Genomic DNA, 17886 nt, shown 5'->3' with positions numbered 1-17886 from the left:
GAAGCCAAAGAGACACAGACCTCAGAATGAAGCCAACCCTGCCAACACCATGATCTTGGACTTCTAGCCTCCAGAACTGACAGAAAATAAATTTCTGTTGTTTAAGCTATGCAGTTTATGGTATTTTCTTATGGCAGCACTAGAACACTAATACATAAAGCAAATACAGGCCAGGCACGGTGGCTCACACCTGTAATCCCAGCACTTTGTGGGGCCAAGGCAGGTGGATCACCTGAGGTCAGAAGTTCAAGACCAGCCTGGCCAACATGGCGAAACCGTGTCTCTACTAAAAGTACAAAAATTAGCCGGACATGGTAGGGCTCGCCTGTAATCCCAGCTACTTGGGAGTCTGATGCAGGAGAATTGGTTGAACCCAGGAGGCAGGGGTTGCAGTGAGTAGAGATTGTGCCACCGCATTCCAGCTTGGGTGACAAGAGCAAAACTCTGTCTCAAAAAAAAATTTTTTTTAAATAAATAAATAAGTAAAGCAAATACAACATCGATACCAAAACCTGATTTTAAAATACCTTAAAATATACGCACTAGTATCACATAATATCAATGCAGAAACTCAAAACATTAGCAAACAGAATATACAACTTCAGGAATGAAGGAAGTTTAGTATTCAGAAATCTACTAGGATAGATTTATAAATAGATCTAAGGAAGAAAATCACATGATCATCTCCAAAAACACTGAAAGTGCATTCAACAATATTCAACACTCATTCCTAACTTTAAGAACAAAATAAACAACAACAAAAATATTTAAAACAGAAGCCAGTAGTAGCTTCAACATGAAAAAAGATATAAATTAGGAAACACTGACAGCAGTCTTGCTAAACTTACAAACAATACAAAGATGCCCAGAATCACAACTATGATTCACCATTACATTTGACATATAGGGAGTTGTAGCCAATGCAAGACAAGGAAAGAAATGACATGTAAAATAACTGGAAAGATAAAATTTTATTCATTTACTTATTTTTGGCGATGGAGTCTTGCACACCAGGATGGAGTGCAGTGGCAATGATCATAACTCAGAACAGCCTCAAACACCTGGGTTCAAGCAATCCTCCCATCTCAGCCTCCCAAGTAAATGGGACTACAGGCGACAGCCACCTCACCCAGCAAATTTTTTTACTTTTTATAGAGATGGTGACTCATTATGTTGTCCAGGCTGGTTTTGAGCTCCTGGCATGAAAGGATCCTCCTGCCTTAGCCTCCCAAAGCATTGGGATTATAGGCATGAGCCCCTGCACCCGACAGAACTCTTATTTATACATAGACAGTATACAACCACATTTTTAAAACCCTAAATACCACACTCTGGGGACTGTTGTGGGGTTGGGGGAGGGGGGAGGGATAGCATTAGGAGATATACCTAATGCTAAATGACGAGTTAACAGGTGCAGCACACCAGCATGGCACATGTATACATATGTAACTAACCTGCACATTGTGCACATGTACCCTAAAACTTAAAGTATAATAATAATAAAATAAAATAAAAATAAATAAATAAAATAAAACCCTAAATAAATGACAGAAAAAAATTACAAACAAGAGTATTTAATAGGTAGCAGGATATAAAACTTTATAATGAGAATCAAGAGTTATCATATGTACCTTAAGAAAAAGTTAGAAGATGGCAGAGTAGGAAGCACCAGGAATCTGTCTCCCCACCCAGGCAACAATTGCCTGGCAGAATCTGTCTGATGGAACTATTTTGACTCTGGCGTCTGTTGAAAGACTGCAACTTCCAGGGGAAGGATTGGACTGAAAATTGGAGTTAATTTCAGCTCTTAGCATAGTAGCAGCTACCCATCCCCCACCCCAGCTCCATGACAGATATTTCCGCAAGTGTTCCTGCAGCAGTTTGCACACAGCTTGCAGGAGCCGGGGTGGGCATAAAAGGACCCTGTCCTCCAAATATTGAGAATCTGTGCTTGCTGACTGCTGCTTCTGATCACAGAGGTGCAAAGAGATGGGTGGTCACTGTTGCTACAACTCCCCACACTGTTGCGAGGCTCTCCTGCTTTGGGCTGAACTGACTTCCAAGGAATTTAAAGGGCTGACATCTTTTTACCATCTTCATTTTTTTTCTCTTTTTCTACTTTTGGGAGCCAGACGTTAACAACTAGGACACTCAAAAACAACTGCATATGCAGGGAAAATTAGAAAGTGATTGCACGTGCCCCTGCAAAGGCTCAGAAAAGACCTAAGGAAGACCTTAAGGTTACATCTCAGGCTAATCCTTGGTGCAGGAAGAGACTACAAGAATAAAAAAGACAAAAACAATAACAGAAAACAGCAAACCCTAGGGAAGAGGGAGAATCTGACTTCTAGAGTTACCAGAGAGCCATCACGATGTGTTGCACAAGGACTACCGAGAGCACAGTGTACCCTTAAGGAAGGCATTGGCCATCTACAGATGCCTTCAGTTTGCCCAACACTGTCCCCTTTACTTAATGACCCAGGAATCTGCTGTACCAAAAAAAGGTACAAATGGCTCCTGTCTCCCACGGACCTCCACACACACAGTCCAACCTTCTAGGATGCCCTGTGTACTCTCTTCTCTATAAAGACAAAACCCCCTCTGAGCAGAGGGCCCCAATGATACTTAACAATGATCACTCTGGCCTCACTCTAGACTCTGTGGACATGGCCCCTAATTTATGATCCTCAGAGGGCCTTCTAAAGACTCCTGAGCTCTGCTGGCCCTTACTACTCCTATCTCCAGCCCTCAAGTCCATCTGTGCCACTAGGGTATCTATAGCCACTAGGTCTTTCCAGAACACACTACTCAGTGGCCACTGGTCCTGTGCCCACCCTATTCCCGACCTGTGCTGTCTGACATGGAGGCCAAGTGGTCCAGTGCTTCCTCACTAAGCCGAAGCACAATGCCCATGAATGTGGCTGACTAGGACAGGCAAGACAAACAGATGTGGCACTTACAGAGTGTATGATGTCCACCATGTTGTAGGCTTTGGTTGATTCCAAAGGGACAATTGTGTCAAGCTCAGGAACCAGACGGTCACTTTAGGCAGAAAAAAGGCAGGTATAGTCAACATAGGAAGAGCCAGTTACCTTTTGTGGGAATGGGGTGGGAAAGGAAATGGGGTGACACGTCATAGGGACTGGGCCAGTTCTGTCCCTGCTGGGCTTACAAAGCAGTCACCAAAGAGTCATTCCTTTTTAACCACCATATTAACTGAACCTGGGACAAGTATCAATCCAAAAGATCTTCTGGTTCTCTTTTAGAGGAAAAAATGAGTTTATTCCTCTAAACGTTATTCTTTCATTTATCTTCTCTGAATACCTCCTACATTCTAGGTACCGTGTAGGGCACTGAAGGACATTATAGTGAACAAGACACAGCCCTGGGAGAGCCCAGCCCAACTTCCTGGAACATTAAAAGAACAAGGACTTGGAAATGCAAAGGCAGAGCTCTGCATAAACCACTGTGGGTTCACATTCCCTGTTAGGTTAATCTGCTAAAGCTCCTTCAAAAAGCAAAACTGCAGGCCCTCTGGGCAAAATCACCACAGAACCTGTCACATGCAGGCTCATGGACTCTCTCCTTCCTCCTGCATCCAAGTGTCTCAGCAGAAAAACTAAGCCAGAGCCCACTCCCACTCTACAGGAGGACCCAGCAACTTGCCCCTCTCCAACCTCTTCTCTCCAATAGGCTTTCATTCCCTCCTTCCCAGTGTGGGCAGCCAGGGGCTACAGTGACCCTGAGACGTACTCCTGGGCTGAGGTTTGGCCTTGGGTCAGGCCATGTGTCCATCAAGCCCAACTTCGCAAAAAGCTCTACGCTGGAAAGAAAACTAAGGGTAGCCCCATCTGCTAATAAAGTCCTCCCTTTTTACTTGTCATACATATATACACATATACATATGTGTATATATGTATGTGAACACATGTGTAGATATACATATATACACGTGTAGATATGCATGTATGTATATGTGTAGATATGCGTATATGCATATATGTGTTGATATGCATGTGTGTGGGCATGCATATATGCATGTGTGGGCGTGTACACATGCATATGTGTGGGTATGCATATATACACATGCATGTGTGTATACATGCATACATGTATATATGTATGCATATGCGTATACATATACATATGCATACATATACATGCATACATATGTACGCATATACGTACATACACATGCATGCATATACATACATATGCATGCATATACATACACATGCATATACATACATACACATGCATACCTATACATACACATGCATATACATACATACACATGCATACCTATACATACACACACATGCATACCTATACATACACATGCATATACATACATACACATGCATACCTATACATACACATGCATATACATACATACACATGCATACCTATACATACACATGCATATACATACATACACATGCATACCTATACATACACATGCATATACATACATACACATGCATACCTATACATACACATGCATATACATACATACACATGCATACCTATACACATGCATATACATACATACACATGCATACCTATACATACACATGCATATACATACATACACATGCATACCTATACATACACATGCATACATATGCATATATACATAAGCATACATATACATACATATGCATATACATAAGCATACATATACATACATATGCATATATACCTATGCATGCATATGTATGCATGTGTATGTGTGTATGCACAAATATGTATACATGTATGTATACATATATATGCATATACGTACATATGCACACATGAACATATGTATATACACATACACGTATACATATATACGCATATACACATGCATATATATATGTATACATATATATGGATATATATCTCCCTTGGAATCATATGCAGAAGAGGTATAGCTGGGCCAAAGCGGGCTATGCAGACATTTCTGGGCTCCTGGGCCATAATACCTTCAAGTGATGTCCTAAACCCTTCAGGAACTCCAAACTGTATACTCAGAAAGGCTATACCCACAGCTCTGGACCTTGTGACCACTCTCCCCTCCATGACTACACACAGTGGGCCACTGGGTATGTCCCTTGTGGAGTGGGCAGAGGCAGACAGAGTGAGGCCCTGGCAACACAACTCTTCAGAGCATCCCTGGCCCAGACCAGGCCCCACAGGAAGGAGTCCAGGTTTAAGCTACAGGATAGCATCTGAAAATGACCTCTTCCCAAACAATACAATTTCAAATCCCTTCTGCAGAAGAAAGTCCAGGCCAAGTGAGTGCTTATAATTTGGAGAGGAAATAAAATGGAACGGCTAGAGGTGTGGAGCAGTTCCTGGGCAGGGCCTCCACTTTACTCTATGGTGCCTCCACAACAGGTGGTAGACTCCAACAGCAAAAGGAAAGGTCTTCACCAGATGGCCAGCAACACACCCTTCCCCAGGACTGTCCCAGCCTCTGGCTATAAGCAGTATGCATAAACATGTTTCCTAAAGGGCATGCTGTTTGCATCATTTTACATTTATTTATTTCAAAAGGACAACTAGGTAGAGCCCAGGAACCAGTCACTTTAGACAGAAAAAAGCCAGGTATAGTCAGCATAAGAAGAATCATGGCTCTTCCTTTTGTGGGTGAGGGGAAGGAAAGGAAATGGGAGACTTCTTCATGGGGACTAGGCCAGACCAAAAAAAACTTGAATCTCTAATTCTAGATAACTTGAGAGTTTCTTAGAAATCAAAAAATTTTTCTTTAAAACTGTTTTGGGCCACTCTTCACCACCAAGATATACATTAGATATTACAGAGAGGAAAAAGGAAAATAAAATCATCTTTCTTTGCTCCTATAGCCAAACATGACATCATCCCCACACCTGGGAGCCACTCTACCACACTCTGCTGCAACTTGCCCAACAAGGCAGACCCTGGGGGTCCTGTCAGGGCAGAGAAAGGCAAGCTACACTGCAAAATGAGAGAAGGTGCACCGGCCTACAACCCACCTGGGATCGTGGCACTCACGGACGGGAGCCGGGTCCTGACTGCTCAGGGGCAGGTAGTTGAAGAAATCCCGGAGATTACACAAGGCATCAACATCATTTTCAAAAGCTCTGTGGGCCACACCTAAGAGAACAGGGAGCATATATGATTGAGTCAGGGTACCAGCCAGCCCAAAGTTGCTGCTTCATGCCTGACTGCGCCCTTCTAGGGCATGTCAGTAGCAGACCGTGCTGATAGCTCTGTTCTCTGCACCCTCCACTGAGGATGTAATGCCACATAATACATACCTTCCGGGTGATCCTTCAACTCATGCAGCACATGTTCCCTCTGTTCTGCAACCACACCTCTACAGGGGTCACACCTTTCTTTATTCAGGTCCTTGCTCTAATGTCACCTCCATACCCACTCCCAGATCCTTCACTATCCATCCCTATACCATGCGGGAGTTCTCCTCCCGTACTTTTCTCTGCATCACCTATTTCCCTGTTTACTGCCGGACATCTCTCCTGGAATATCAGCTCCAACAGGGTAAGATCAGGCCTGGCCAACATTAAGAATAATGTACCTGGCAAACAGGTGCACAGCAACAGTGGAAGGAAAGGAGGGGAGCCACCTGCCCCTAGTGAGAATCAAGCCATAATTCTTGAAGAGCACTCTGAAATCACAGAGCAGCCAAACAAGGCCATAGGTATGATGGAGAAAGCGGAGCCAAGAACTCTCTCCCCAGGTTCATCCCACCAGACTCCTTTCTTTCACCATTGCCCCTACGGTCTCTTGTCCACAAAGCTGACAGACAGAGCTTTTTAAGTCAGATCGTGTCATGTCTCTACTCCAATGATCCTCCTTGTTCACTGATCGGGCCAGTCACTCTCCTACCGAGAGCCTTTGCATAAGCTGTTCCCCTCTGCCTGCAATGCTCCCCACTTACATATCAATGCAGTTAACTCCTTAAAATCTGCTCAGCTCCTAACCTCAGTGAGGCCTACTGTTACCACCCTATTTGAAACTACAACAATCCCAGTCCCCTTTACCCTGTTATACTTTTTCCATAGCACGTATTGCCTTCTAACATACTGCATAGTGTACTTATTTACAATGTTTATTGTCTATCTCCTCTACTAGAATATAAGCCCCATATGGGCAGGTGTCTTTCTTTTGTTCTGTCCACAGATGTATTCCTAGCACCTAAAACAATGCTTCACACATAGGTACTCGATGAATATTTGTTTTGTTTTGTTTCTTTTTTTACATTTTTATTATTCTATTTTAAATTTTTAATTCCTTTGCTATTTGCCTTTTTCCACATATTCTAAATGAGTATTTGTTGAATAAAAAGCATTTTCAGCATGACAGAATTCTTTCATTCAAAAAATATTTATAAATGGGTACAGCCACTTTGGAAGAGAGTCTGTCAGTTCCTTAAAAGTTAAACATCGAGTTATCATTTAACTCAGAAATCAAAGAGAAATGAAAACATATGTCTACCCAAAAACTTGCATATAAATATTAATACAGGCATATTTATGATAGCCGAAAAGTGGAAATGACCCAGTGTCTATTAACTGGTCAATGAATAAACTAGATGTGGTATATCCACACACTGGAATATTATTCGGCCATAAAAATGAATAAAGTACTGATTCATGATACAACATGGATGAGCCTTTAACAACATTATGCTAAGTAAAAGCAACCAGTTACAAAAGATCACATATTATATGATTCCATTTCTAGGAAATGTCCAGAATGAAAAAATCCACAGAGACAGAAAGTAGCCTGGTAATTGCCTAGAGCAGAAGTATCTGTGGTTGAAATGCAGAGTGACTGCTAATGGGCACAGGGTTTCTTCTTGGGGTGATGACAATGTCCTGAAATTGATTGTGGTAATAATTATCCAACTCTGAATGTATTTTAAAAACCACTGAATTGTACACTATAAATAGGTGTTTAAAATATACGGTATATGAATTACATCTCAATAAAGCTGTTACCACAAAAGAAAAAAGAAAAGAGAGAAAAATATATGTACGGAGCACCTTTTTGTGCCTTGCCCTGGGGATACAGGGCCAAGTGCATCAGACACAGTCCATCAAAGAGCCTCAGGCCCAGAAAGAAAACCACATACTGCCCTACAATCAAAAAACAAACAAAACGTACTTGAGATTGTGCTACAGAAGAAACTTTAATGTCATGGGCAGACATTCATTACTTTAAGCTGTCAAGTAAAAAAAAAAAAAAAACTCAGGTTACATAAGAGTATGTCCATACCTATGTTTGAGTAAGTGTTTGTGTATTCACGCTCATGTGCGTGAAAAGACTGCAAGGGTATAACCAAAAAATCACTAGTGATTATCTGTGGATGATGGAATATCTAGCAGTTTTTATGCTTTGTATGTTTTCTAAGTTTTGTACTACAAACATATAATGCTATTAAAATGGGGAAAAATAAACAGCATATTTCATCAAATCTAAGACACCATCAAGACCCAGCTTTATATTATATACCAGCAAGAAAAACAGGCTGCTGCCAATAAAGCCCTGAGACAATAGCATGGCATCAGGCCGTGCTGGAGTTGATGCTAAGAAGTGTTCTGATTCTAGACATGTCTTAAAGATGGGGCTAAATGATGCTGATAGGTAAGGGAAAGGAATGAGTCAAGATCGATGCCAACCTGACATGGGGAGAAACAATTTTTGTGGGTGGGGGATCAAGAGCCCTAACTTTTTTAAAACTACATTTCATCTAATCTAAGACTTCACTGATAAGACACATCTCTACTTTAGGGACACTGGGAAGAAATGCTGACAATTAAATGCTGACCCAATGCCTTAACCACAGTACAATGAGGTGCATAAATCAGGCATGCCAGCCTCTCACTGCTGTAAAATCTCTCAGAGAAGCAATTTCTCCTGTCTTTAGTTACATTGCTGTGTGGTAGGTAATCCATTCACAGCTGGGTGGTTTCTTTTACAGGAAAACATGGAATTGCAATAATTACTCCAACAGCTAACATGTCTTCACTAATATCAGAATCATGCCCTACTTCCAATTCCATGCCTTTCTGTTTAAACAAGAACTTTTTGTTTCAGTGCTGAGGCACAGAATAATCTTTATACATTTTAAACTTGGTACGTAATCTTAAAGTTGTGAACAACTAGCCGGACATGGTGGCTCACGCCTGTAATCCCAGCACTTTGGGAGGTCGAAGTGGGAGGATTGCTCAAGCCCAGGAGTTCGAGACCAACCTGGACAACACAGTGAGACCACATCTCTACAAAAAAATATTAAAAATAAAAATTACCTGGGTATGATGTGACATACCTGTAATCCCAGCTACTAGAGAGGCTGAGGCAGAAGAATTACTTGAGCCCGGAAGACTGAGGCTACAGTGAGCTATCACTGTGTCCTGCACTCCAGCCTGGGCAATAGCATGAGACCCTATCTCAAAAACAAAACAAAACAAAAGCCAGGTATGGTGGCTCATGCCTGTAATCCCAGCACTTTGGGAAGCCAAGGTGGGCAGATTGCTTGAGGCCAAGAGTCTGACACCAGCCTGGCAACATGGTAAAACCCCATCTCTACAAAAAAAAAAAAATTTGCTGGGTGTGGTGGTGCATGCCTGTAGTCCTAGCTACCCAAGAGTCTGTGGTGGGAGGATTGCTTGAGCCTGGGAGGCGGAGGTTGCAATAAGCTAAGATTGTGTCACTGCACTCCAGCCTGGGCCACAGAGCTGGATCCTGTCTCAAAAAAAAAGAAGTTAACAACTATGACCAAATTCATCAACACATGATATATGACCATCATGCACCTGGCCAATGATTGGAAAACACTTATGTACTCTAAGATATATACCAACCTTAGAATAAAAAATGTCACAATAAGATAAAATTTTTTTTCAAAGGTTCAACTGTACATACATAAATCATACCTACTTATAATCACCATTCCAGCAACTAGCTCTAAATTGTTTTAAAGAATAACCAAGCATTACTAATAGCGTGTTATTTAATAAATTTTATATACTAAATCTACCTTTATCACTATATCTGTAAACAATACACTGTAGTGTAGTACAATAGACTGTACCACAGTCTTCCCAAATAAGGTCTGCCAATTAAGTAATATTTCTTAAAAACTGCCACCAGGCTCTTTGGCAATGCCCTCTTCTCAATGTTTGAAAACAACAAGGTCATCTTCAAGGCCTCTCACCTGACATGGTGGTGTGGGTCTTGGCACCACCGAGCTCCTCCTGGGTAACATCCTCATTGGTGACAGACTTCACAACATCAGGGCCAGTGATGAACAGGTAGGAGGTGTCCTGAAATAAAAGATTTCCAGAACAGTCAACCTCAGAGCACCAGAGCTGGTCACAGCCTTAGAGTTGATTCAGCCAAGATGACAAATGCAGAGAAGATAGTGACGTGGCTGAATGAGGATAGGATGTAGCTTAAAGATACGACTCCAAACTAAAGACCCAAGTTTTCCCTGCCTTATTGTCTTTTTTAAAAAATTTCTGTTGCACAGTTCTACCTCAGAAGTTAACTTGCAATGTGGCTAACATCTCAAGGTCATTCATCTGTAGAACACAGTAACAGGTGGCTCTTACTCAGAGCTTGCTGTGCACCAAGAAGTTTTTTAAGCACTTCACAAAACTGTGTCACTAAAGCCTAAGTACTATTATCACCCTCATTTACATATGAGGAAACTGAGATATGGAGACTGTATGCAACCAGTCACTTTAAATGAAGCTACTTAAAAATATTGATAAATCAGTGGGTTACAGTGGCTCACATCTGTAATCCCAACACTTTGGAAAGCCAAGGCAGGAGGATCACTTCAGGCCAGGAGTTCAAGACCAGCCTGGCCAACATAGCGAGACCCAGTCTCCATAAAAATTTGTTTCAATTAGGTAGGCCTGGTGGCATGTGCCTGTAGTCCTAGCTATTCAGGAGAGTGAGGCGGGACAATCACTTGAGTTGCAGTGAGCTATGATTGCTTGCACCACTGCACTCCAGCCTGGGTGACAGAGTAAAAACCTGTCTCAAAAACAAAAACAAAAAAACTAATAAATCAATGCTTTGCTATTAAAGAGTGATAGGCTTTTAATTTTTAGTTTCTAATATATAGATAATATAAGTATACTGCATAAAATTTAAACAGAGGAACAGGAGATACAGTGGAAAGTCTACAGCCCAGCCCTTACTTCCAGGCCTCCAATTCGCCTCCCCTAAGGCATACCCTGTCAGTTTCTTCTCTCTACAGAGACACCCATGCATCCATGTGCATTTATATATATATTTGCCCTCTTTGCCCTCTTATCTTCTAACACAAACATTATCTAACACAAACACTTTCTAATGCAAACATTTTCTTCCCAACACATTCTTTCAATACACATAGTGTTCAATACACACTGTGTTCAATACACATAGAGTTCAATACACACTGTTCTCAAATTTGTTTTTCTAGCTTGAAGATCATTCTATTCCATATCAGTATAGTAGGATTTGTATCATAACTTTCACCAATTGATGGTCATGAAGGTTGTTTCCAAAACTTTAGTATAATAAGCAATTCTGCAATAAATATTACTACAGTGCTCTCTGAACTCACTATTCATGTTCTTTGCCCATTTCTAATACATCATTGGCTTTTTTATGTACTAAGGAAATTAGTCCTTAGTCTATCATATGCATTATATCAGTCTTTTATCTTATGGCTTCTTGGTTTGAAATCTTGCTAGAAAGGTCTAGCTACAAAGGTCTTCCCCACTTCACACAGACTTCTAAACAAATGTTTATAGCAGCCTTATTTGAAACTGTTAAAAAAAAAAAAAACTAGAGACACAAAATTTCAGGTTTCTAGTCCAGCACATAAGAAGCTAAAAGTTGATACTCCTTCTTAACAAATAAAAAGCTGAAAAAGTTGCAGGGGAAAAACCAACAGTTTTTCTTAGGTCCATCAAAGAGGTGAGGTCTTTGCAGAACAAAGCACCCCAAAACTGGAGACCAACTGGCAAATGCAGAAAATTGAGCCTTGCAGGGCAGAAACCCACAAGCACAAATCTCCTCCAGAGCCAGGGCTGATGTAGGAAAACCGGAACTATAGCTGACAAATTGCTGGAGGCCCAGCATGGACAAGTCGGAGAGATCAAGACTCCAGGGCCGGCCAATCATTGGGGGCTCCCACACTTTTGTGAGTTTTACCTCTAGGAACTCAACAAGGTTCTCACAGTGATAATCAGAGAAAACTCCCTCATGCTTCTGACATGCATGGGGGAAAAAAAGACCCTTCTGAAACGCACGAGAGCATCATTCTTAACAGGGTCTTCTCTCAGGCAAAACTATATGATAAGAGCCTAACCTGCTGAAGTTTTATCAGAAACTGCTGACGCGAGGGAAGAAAAATACCAAACTCAAGCCAGCTCTTGCTTTCCATGTGGAAGAGGGGAAATGGCCAGCCCCAACCCGCTCTAGCCACCGTCCCACCAAAAAAGTACGAGAGACTGAGACACATGACATTCATAGTTCAGAGGCACAGGCTCACTAAAAGACTGACACCTACTCATAAGACTACAGAACACTTCCTCTTCCCCAGCTCCTTATCATTACTAAGGGCCTATTTACAATAGTTCCTTTTACCTAGTGTATCATGTCCAGCTATCAGGAATAAGTCATAAGACACACTAAAAGACAAAAAACAAAGTTTGAAGAGAGAATAAGCATCAGAACTGGAATCAGATGTAGCAGAAATGTTGGAATTATCAGACCAGAAATTTGAAACAACTACAATTAAGATGTTTGCCAGGTGTAATGGCATGTGTCTGTAGTCTTGGGTACTCAGGAGGCTGAGGTGGGAGGATCACTTGAGCCCAGGCGTTCAACACTAGCCTGGCCAAGACAGCAAGACTCCATCTCAAAAAACAAAAACAAACAAAATGGTTTAAGGGCTCTCATGGATAGAGTAGACAGCAAGCAGATGAGCAATGTAAGCAGAGAAATGGAAATTCTAAAAAAATAACTAAAATATACCAGGGATTGGAAACACTGCAACAGAAATAAAGAATGCATTTGATGTTTTTTGGTAGACTGGGCATGCTTGAGGAAAGAATCTCTGAGCTTGAGGATATCTCAAGAGAAACCACTCAAATTGAAAAGCGAAGAGAAAAAAATGGATCAAAAAAAACAAAACAAAACTGGAGTATCTAAAAACTGTGGCACAAATTACAAACGATGTAACATATACATAATGAGAATTCCAGAAGGAGCAGAAAGAGAAAAAAGAACAGAATATAGGAAGCAATAATGACAGAAAAGTTCCCCAAATTGTCAGACACCAAACCACAGATCCAATAAACTCAGAGACCATCAAGCAAGATGAATGACAAAAAAAAAAAAAAAAACTACACAGAGAAAGCTAGGTGTAGTGGTGCACACCTGTTGTCCCAGCCACTCATGAGGCTGAGGCAGGAAGACCATGTGAGCCCAGGAGTTTGAACCAGCCTGGGAAACACAGGGAGACCCCCATCTCTAAAAAAACAAAAGACAAACAAACAAACAAAAACAAAAAACTACACTTAGGACATTATTTCCAAACTACAGAAAATCAATTATAAAGAAAATATCCTAAAGGCAGCCACAAGAAAAAAACATTTTGCCTATAGAGGACCAAAAATAATAATTATATCCAAATTTTTCTTAGAAACCATGCAAGAACGAAGAGAGTGGAATGAAATATTTAAAGTGTTGAGGGGAAAGATCCTACCAACCTAGAATTCTGTGCTCTGCAAAATTATTCTTCAAAAGTGAAGGAAAAATACAGACCTTCTCAAACAAACAAAACTTGAGGTAATCTCCTGCCAGTAGACCTGCCTTGCAAAAAATGTTAAGCAAAATTCTTTACAGAAAAGGTAAATGATAAAGATCAGAAACTTATATCTACATAAAGAAAGAAAGAGCATTCAAGAAGGAATAAATGAAGGTAAAATGAAAACTTTTGATTCAAATTAATAGTAGCAAAAATTCAATTATGTACACATTCAATTATGTACAATTGAATTATGTGCACATCGCTTCTCAGCCTTTTGGCTAAGACCAAGTGCAATTATGTACACATATTTTATATATATCATATGAGGGATAGGAGGAAGGAATTAGAATGATTTTGCTATTATAAGGTACTCATACAACCTGGGAAGCAGAAAAGTGTTATCTGAAATTAACTTAAAATAGCTGTAAATTATATTGCAACCTCTAAGGCAACCACTGAAGAAGGTAAAAAAAAAGTATAACATGTTAATAAAGGAGAAAAATGGAATCATATAGAATGCTCAATTAAAATCACAAAAGGCAGAAAAGTGGAAGACAAAAATAAGAACAAATACAACAAAAAGAAAACAGTAACAAATATGGTAGATACTAATCCAACTATACCAACAATCTCTCTGAATGTCAATGGTCTAAATGTATCAATTAAAAGACGGATTGTCAGACTAGATCAAGAAACAAGACACAACTATAAGGGATGTCTACAAAAAACCCACTTGAAATAGACATAAAGATTAAAAGTAAATGAATGCAGAAAGATATTAATTACATGCTAAGACTAATCAAAAGAAATCAGGAGTAGCTATATTAATTTCAGAAAGAAAAGGCTTCAGACCAAGGAAAGTTATTATACAGAGGAATTCTGCATAATGATAAAGGGGTCAATTCTCCAAGGAGACAAACAGTCCTTCATGTGTATGCACCTAACAACAGAGCATCAAAATAACATGAGGCAAATACTGATAGCACTGGAAGGAGAAATAGATGAATCCATGATTACAGTTGAAGATCTTAACACTCCTCTATCAAAAGTGGACAGATCCAGCAGGCAGAAACAGTAAAGACATAGATGAACTCAGTAACACCAATCAGCTGGGCACAGTGTCTCATGCCTATAATCCCAGCAACTCAAGGGCCCTAGGTGAGAGGATTACTTGAGGCCAGGGGTTAAGACCAGCCTATGACAATATGGCAAGACCCCATCTCTACAAAAATTAAAATAAATAAAAATTAGCCTGGCCAACATGGTGAAACCCTGTCTCTACAAAAATAAAAAAATTGGCCAGGCATGGTGGCACACACCTATAGTCCCAGCTACTCAGGAGGCTAAGGTGAGAGGATTGCTTGACCCCAGGAGGTCAAGGATGCAGTGAGCCGAGATCGCACCACTGCTCTTCAGCATGGGCGACACAGCAAGACCTTGTCTCAAAAAAATAAATAAAATAAATAAAAAATTAGCCAGGTGTGTTGGCATGTGCCTGTAATCCCAGCTACACAGGAGGATCACTTGAGCCCAGCAGGTCGAGGCTGTGGTAAGCTATGATCATACCACTGCACTCCAGCCTGGGCAACAGAGTGAGACCCTGTCTCTAAACATTTTTATAGACCAGGTGCTGTGGCTTATACCCGTAATCCCAGCACTTTGGGAGGGAGGACGATTGCTTGAGCCCAGGAGTTCAAGACCAGTCTAAGCAACACAGTGAGACCAGTTCTCTACCAAAATAAAAAAAAAAAATTAGGCAGGCATGGCAGTGTGTGCCTGTAGTCCCAGCTACACAGGAGGCTGAGGCAGGAGGATCACTTGAACCTGGGAGCCGAAGGTTGCAGTGAGCTGAGATCACACCACTGCACTCCAGCCTGGGTGAGAGGGGGAGACTCCGTCTCAAAAAATAAAAAAAAATAATAAAAAACATTTTAAGAAGTAAAATAAATAGAAATCATTTTTAAAATTAAAAGAAAAACAGTATCAATAAACAGGATATGATGGACATACTTCATCTAACAACAAAATACGCTTTCTTCTCAAGCTCCCATGGAACATTCACCAAGATAGACTACATTCTGAGTCATAAACATACCTTAATTTAGAAGAACAGGAATCATACAAAAAGGCACTCAGCTTTATCAGTCATGGACTAATGCAAATTGAGTCAATGCAAATTGACAACACAATAAGAGACTATACCACAAGCATCAAACTGGCACAATTAAACTATGTTAATGTAAGTGCTGGCAAGGATGTGAAACAAGTGAAATTCTCAAATTGCTGGCTGCAACCTGTTTAGTAAACAGACGGGCATTACCTAGAGAAGCTGAAGACATATATATCCTATGACCTAAGATTGCCTCTAATGTGAAATGTTTACATCAGCACCAGAAAATAAAATGTGCGCACCAAGACACATATAGAAAAATGTTTACATCAGCATCATTTGCAATGGCAAAAATCTTGAAATAATTCAAATGTCCATCTGCAGTGGAATGAATGAATATGTTAAGAAATATTTACTATAACTGGGCGCAGTGGCTCATGCCTATACTCCCAGCACTTTAGGAGGCTGAGGCCGGCAGATTACTTGAGGCCAAGAGTTTGGAGACCACCCTGGCCAACACAGCAAAATCCATCTCTACCAAAAATACAAAAAATTAGCCGGGTGTGTGGTGGCACACGCCTGTAGTCCCAGCTACATGGGAGGCTGAGGTGTGAGAATCACTTAAACCGAGGAGGCAAAGGTTCCAGTGAGGTGAGATCCATGTCACTGCACTCCAGCCTGGGTGACAGAGCAAAACTCTGTCTCAAAAAAAAAACAAAAAACACCAAACACACACAAAAGAAAAAACACACACACACACTTACTACACAGCTATTAAAGTGAATGAACTACATTTTCAAAGAACAACATAGATAAATCTTAACAACATAATGAGCCAGAAGCCATGCACACAAGAAAGCATATTATATGGTTTCACTTAACGTAAAGGTCAAAACAGGAAACGCTAATCCACATTGTTTAGGGAGGCAATTTTTATTTTCAACTATGAAGCAAAGCAAATAAAAACACTACCATAAAAGCTGAGACAATAAAGAATTATTATTAATAACAAATTCTAAGCAGGATGGAGGCTACAATGATCCTTAGAAAGGATCATGATGACAGGGCTCTTGAAGAGCTATTTCCTGACCTGGGTTATTTTTATTATTTTTTTTTTTTTTTCCGAGACAGAGTCTTGCTCTGCCACCCAGGCTGGAGTGCAGTGGCGCGATCTTGGTTCACTGCAACCTCCGCCTCTCAGGTTGAAGCGATTCTCCTGCCTCAGCCTCCCGAGTAGCTGGTATTACAAGCACGTACCACCACGCTTGGCTAATTTTTGTATTTTTAGTAGAGACAGGGTTTCATCATGTTGGCCATGCTGGTCTCAAACTACTAGCCTCAAGTGATCCACCCGCCTCAGCCTCCCAAAGCGCTCACTGCAACCTTCAGCTCCCAGGTTCAGAAGCAGGGAGACCAGTCAGGAGGATTCTGTAATAATCAGGTGGGAAATGATGTGCTTGAATCAAAGTGGTAGCAGTTTTGTTAGTAAGAAGTAAGTAGTCGTGCTAAGAAGCAATTTGATTATATTGTGGATTATATTCTAAAGTAAAGCCAACAGGACCTTCTGACTAAATTTGGGATGTGATAGCAAAAGACGAGTCAAGGCAGTGTCAAAGCTTTTACCTGAGCCACTGGAAGACTAGACCTGCCATTTAAAATGGCGAAGGCTGCAGGAGAGCAATGCAGGAGAAGCTTGGTAGAAATCAAAACCTGTTAAGTTTGAGATACCCATTAAAGTCCAAATGGAAATTCTGGTAGGCTCTTAAAAATATAATCCTGGAGGAACAGATTTCAGAGTTGTCAGCATACGGATCAGTATTTAAAGTCATGAGACTGGAGTGATCAGCTAGAGCAAATGTTGTCAACAGGTAAGACAAAGGGTGAGAAATGTCAACTGGATTTAGTGATGCAGCAATCACTGGTATCTCTGACATAAGAAATTGTTATTATCAGTGACTCTGCTTAGAAT

General features: G+C 40.7%; 1 protein-coding gene across 3 annotated transcripts in view, besides 1 other annotated feature; it reads right to left on the bottom strand.

Annotated features, from left to right (window-relative positions):
- PCCB (propionyl-CoA carboxylase subunit beta) overlaps positions 1–17886 on the bottom strand; it is a 79830-nt gene that overhangs the window by 26098 nt on the left and 35846 nt on the right. For all 3 annotated transcript variants that reach the window (NM_001178014.2, NM_000532.5, XM_011512873.2), the window contains 3 exons: positions 10208–10316; positions 6000–6120; positions 2961–3042 (listed from right to left, as the gene is read on the bottom strand). In NM_001178014.2, the coding sequence (NP_001171485.1) occupies positions 2961–3042; positions 6000–6120; positions 10208–10316 (312 nt within the window). The remainder of the gene's footprint in view (positions 1–2960; positions 3043–5999; positions 6121–10207; positions 10317–17886) is intronic.
- Positions 6609–7184: an enhancer, noted in NCBI's record as "OCT4-NANOG hESC enhancer chr3:136015730-136016305 (GRCh37/hg19 assembly coordinates)". NCBI's record gives its function as "activates a minimal SCP1, AML or CMV promoter by ChIP-STARR-seq in naive H9 embryonic stem cells {active_cell/tissue: H9 hESC(naive)}" and the evidence as "EXISTENCE:reporter gene assay evidence [ECO:0000049][PMID:30033119]".

Source organism: Homo sapiens, chromosome 3 (genome assembly GCF_000001405.40).
Source record: "Homo sapiens chromosome 3, GRCh38.p14 Primary Assembly".
Classification (NCBI taxonomy): domain Eukaryota; kingdom Metazoa; phylum Chordata; class Mammalia; order Primates; family Hominidae; genus Homo; species Homo sapiens.
The sequence above is the reverse complement of the archived record's forward strand: the minus strand, read 5'-3'. Positions and strand labels throughout refer to the sequence as shown.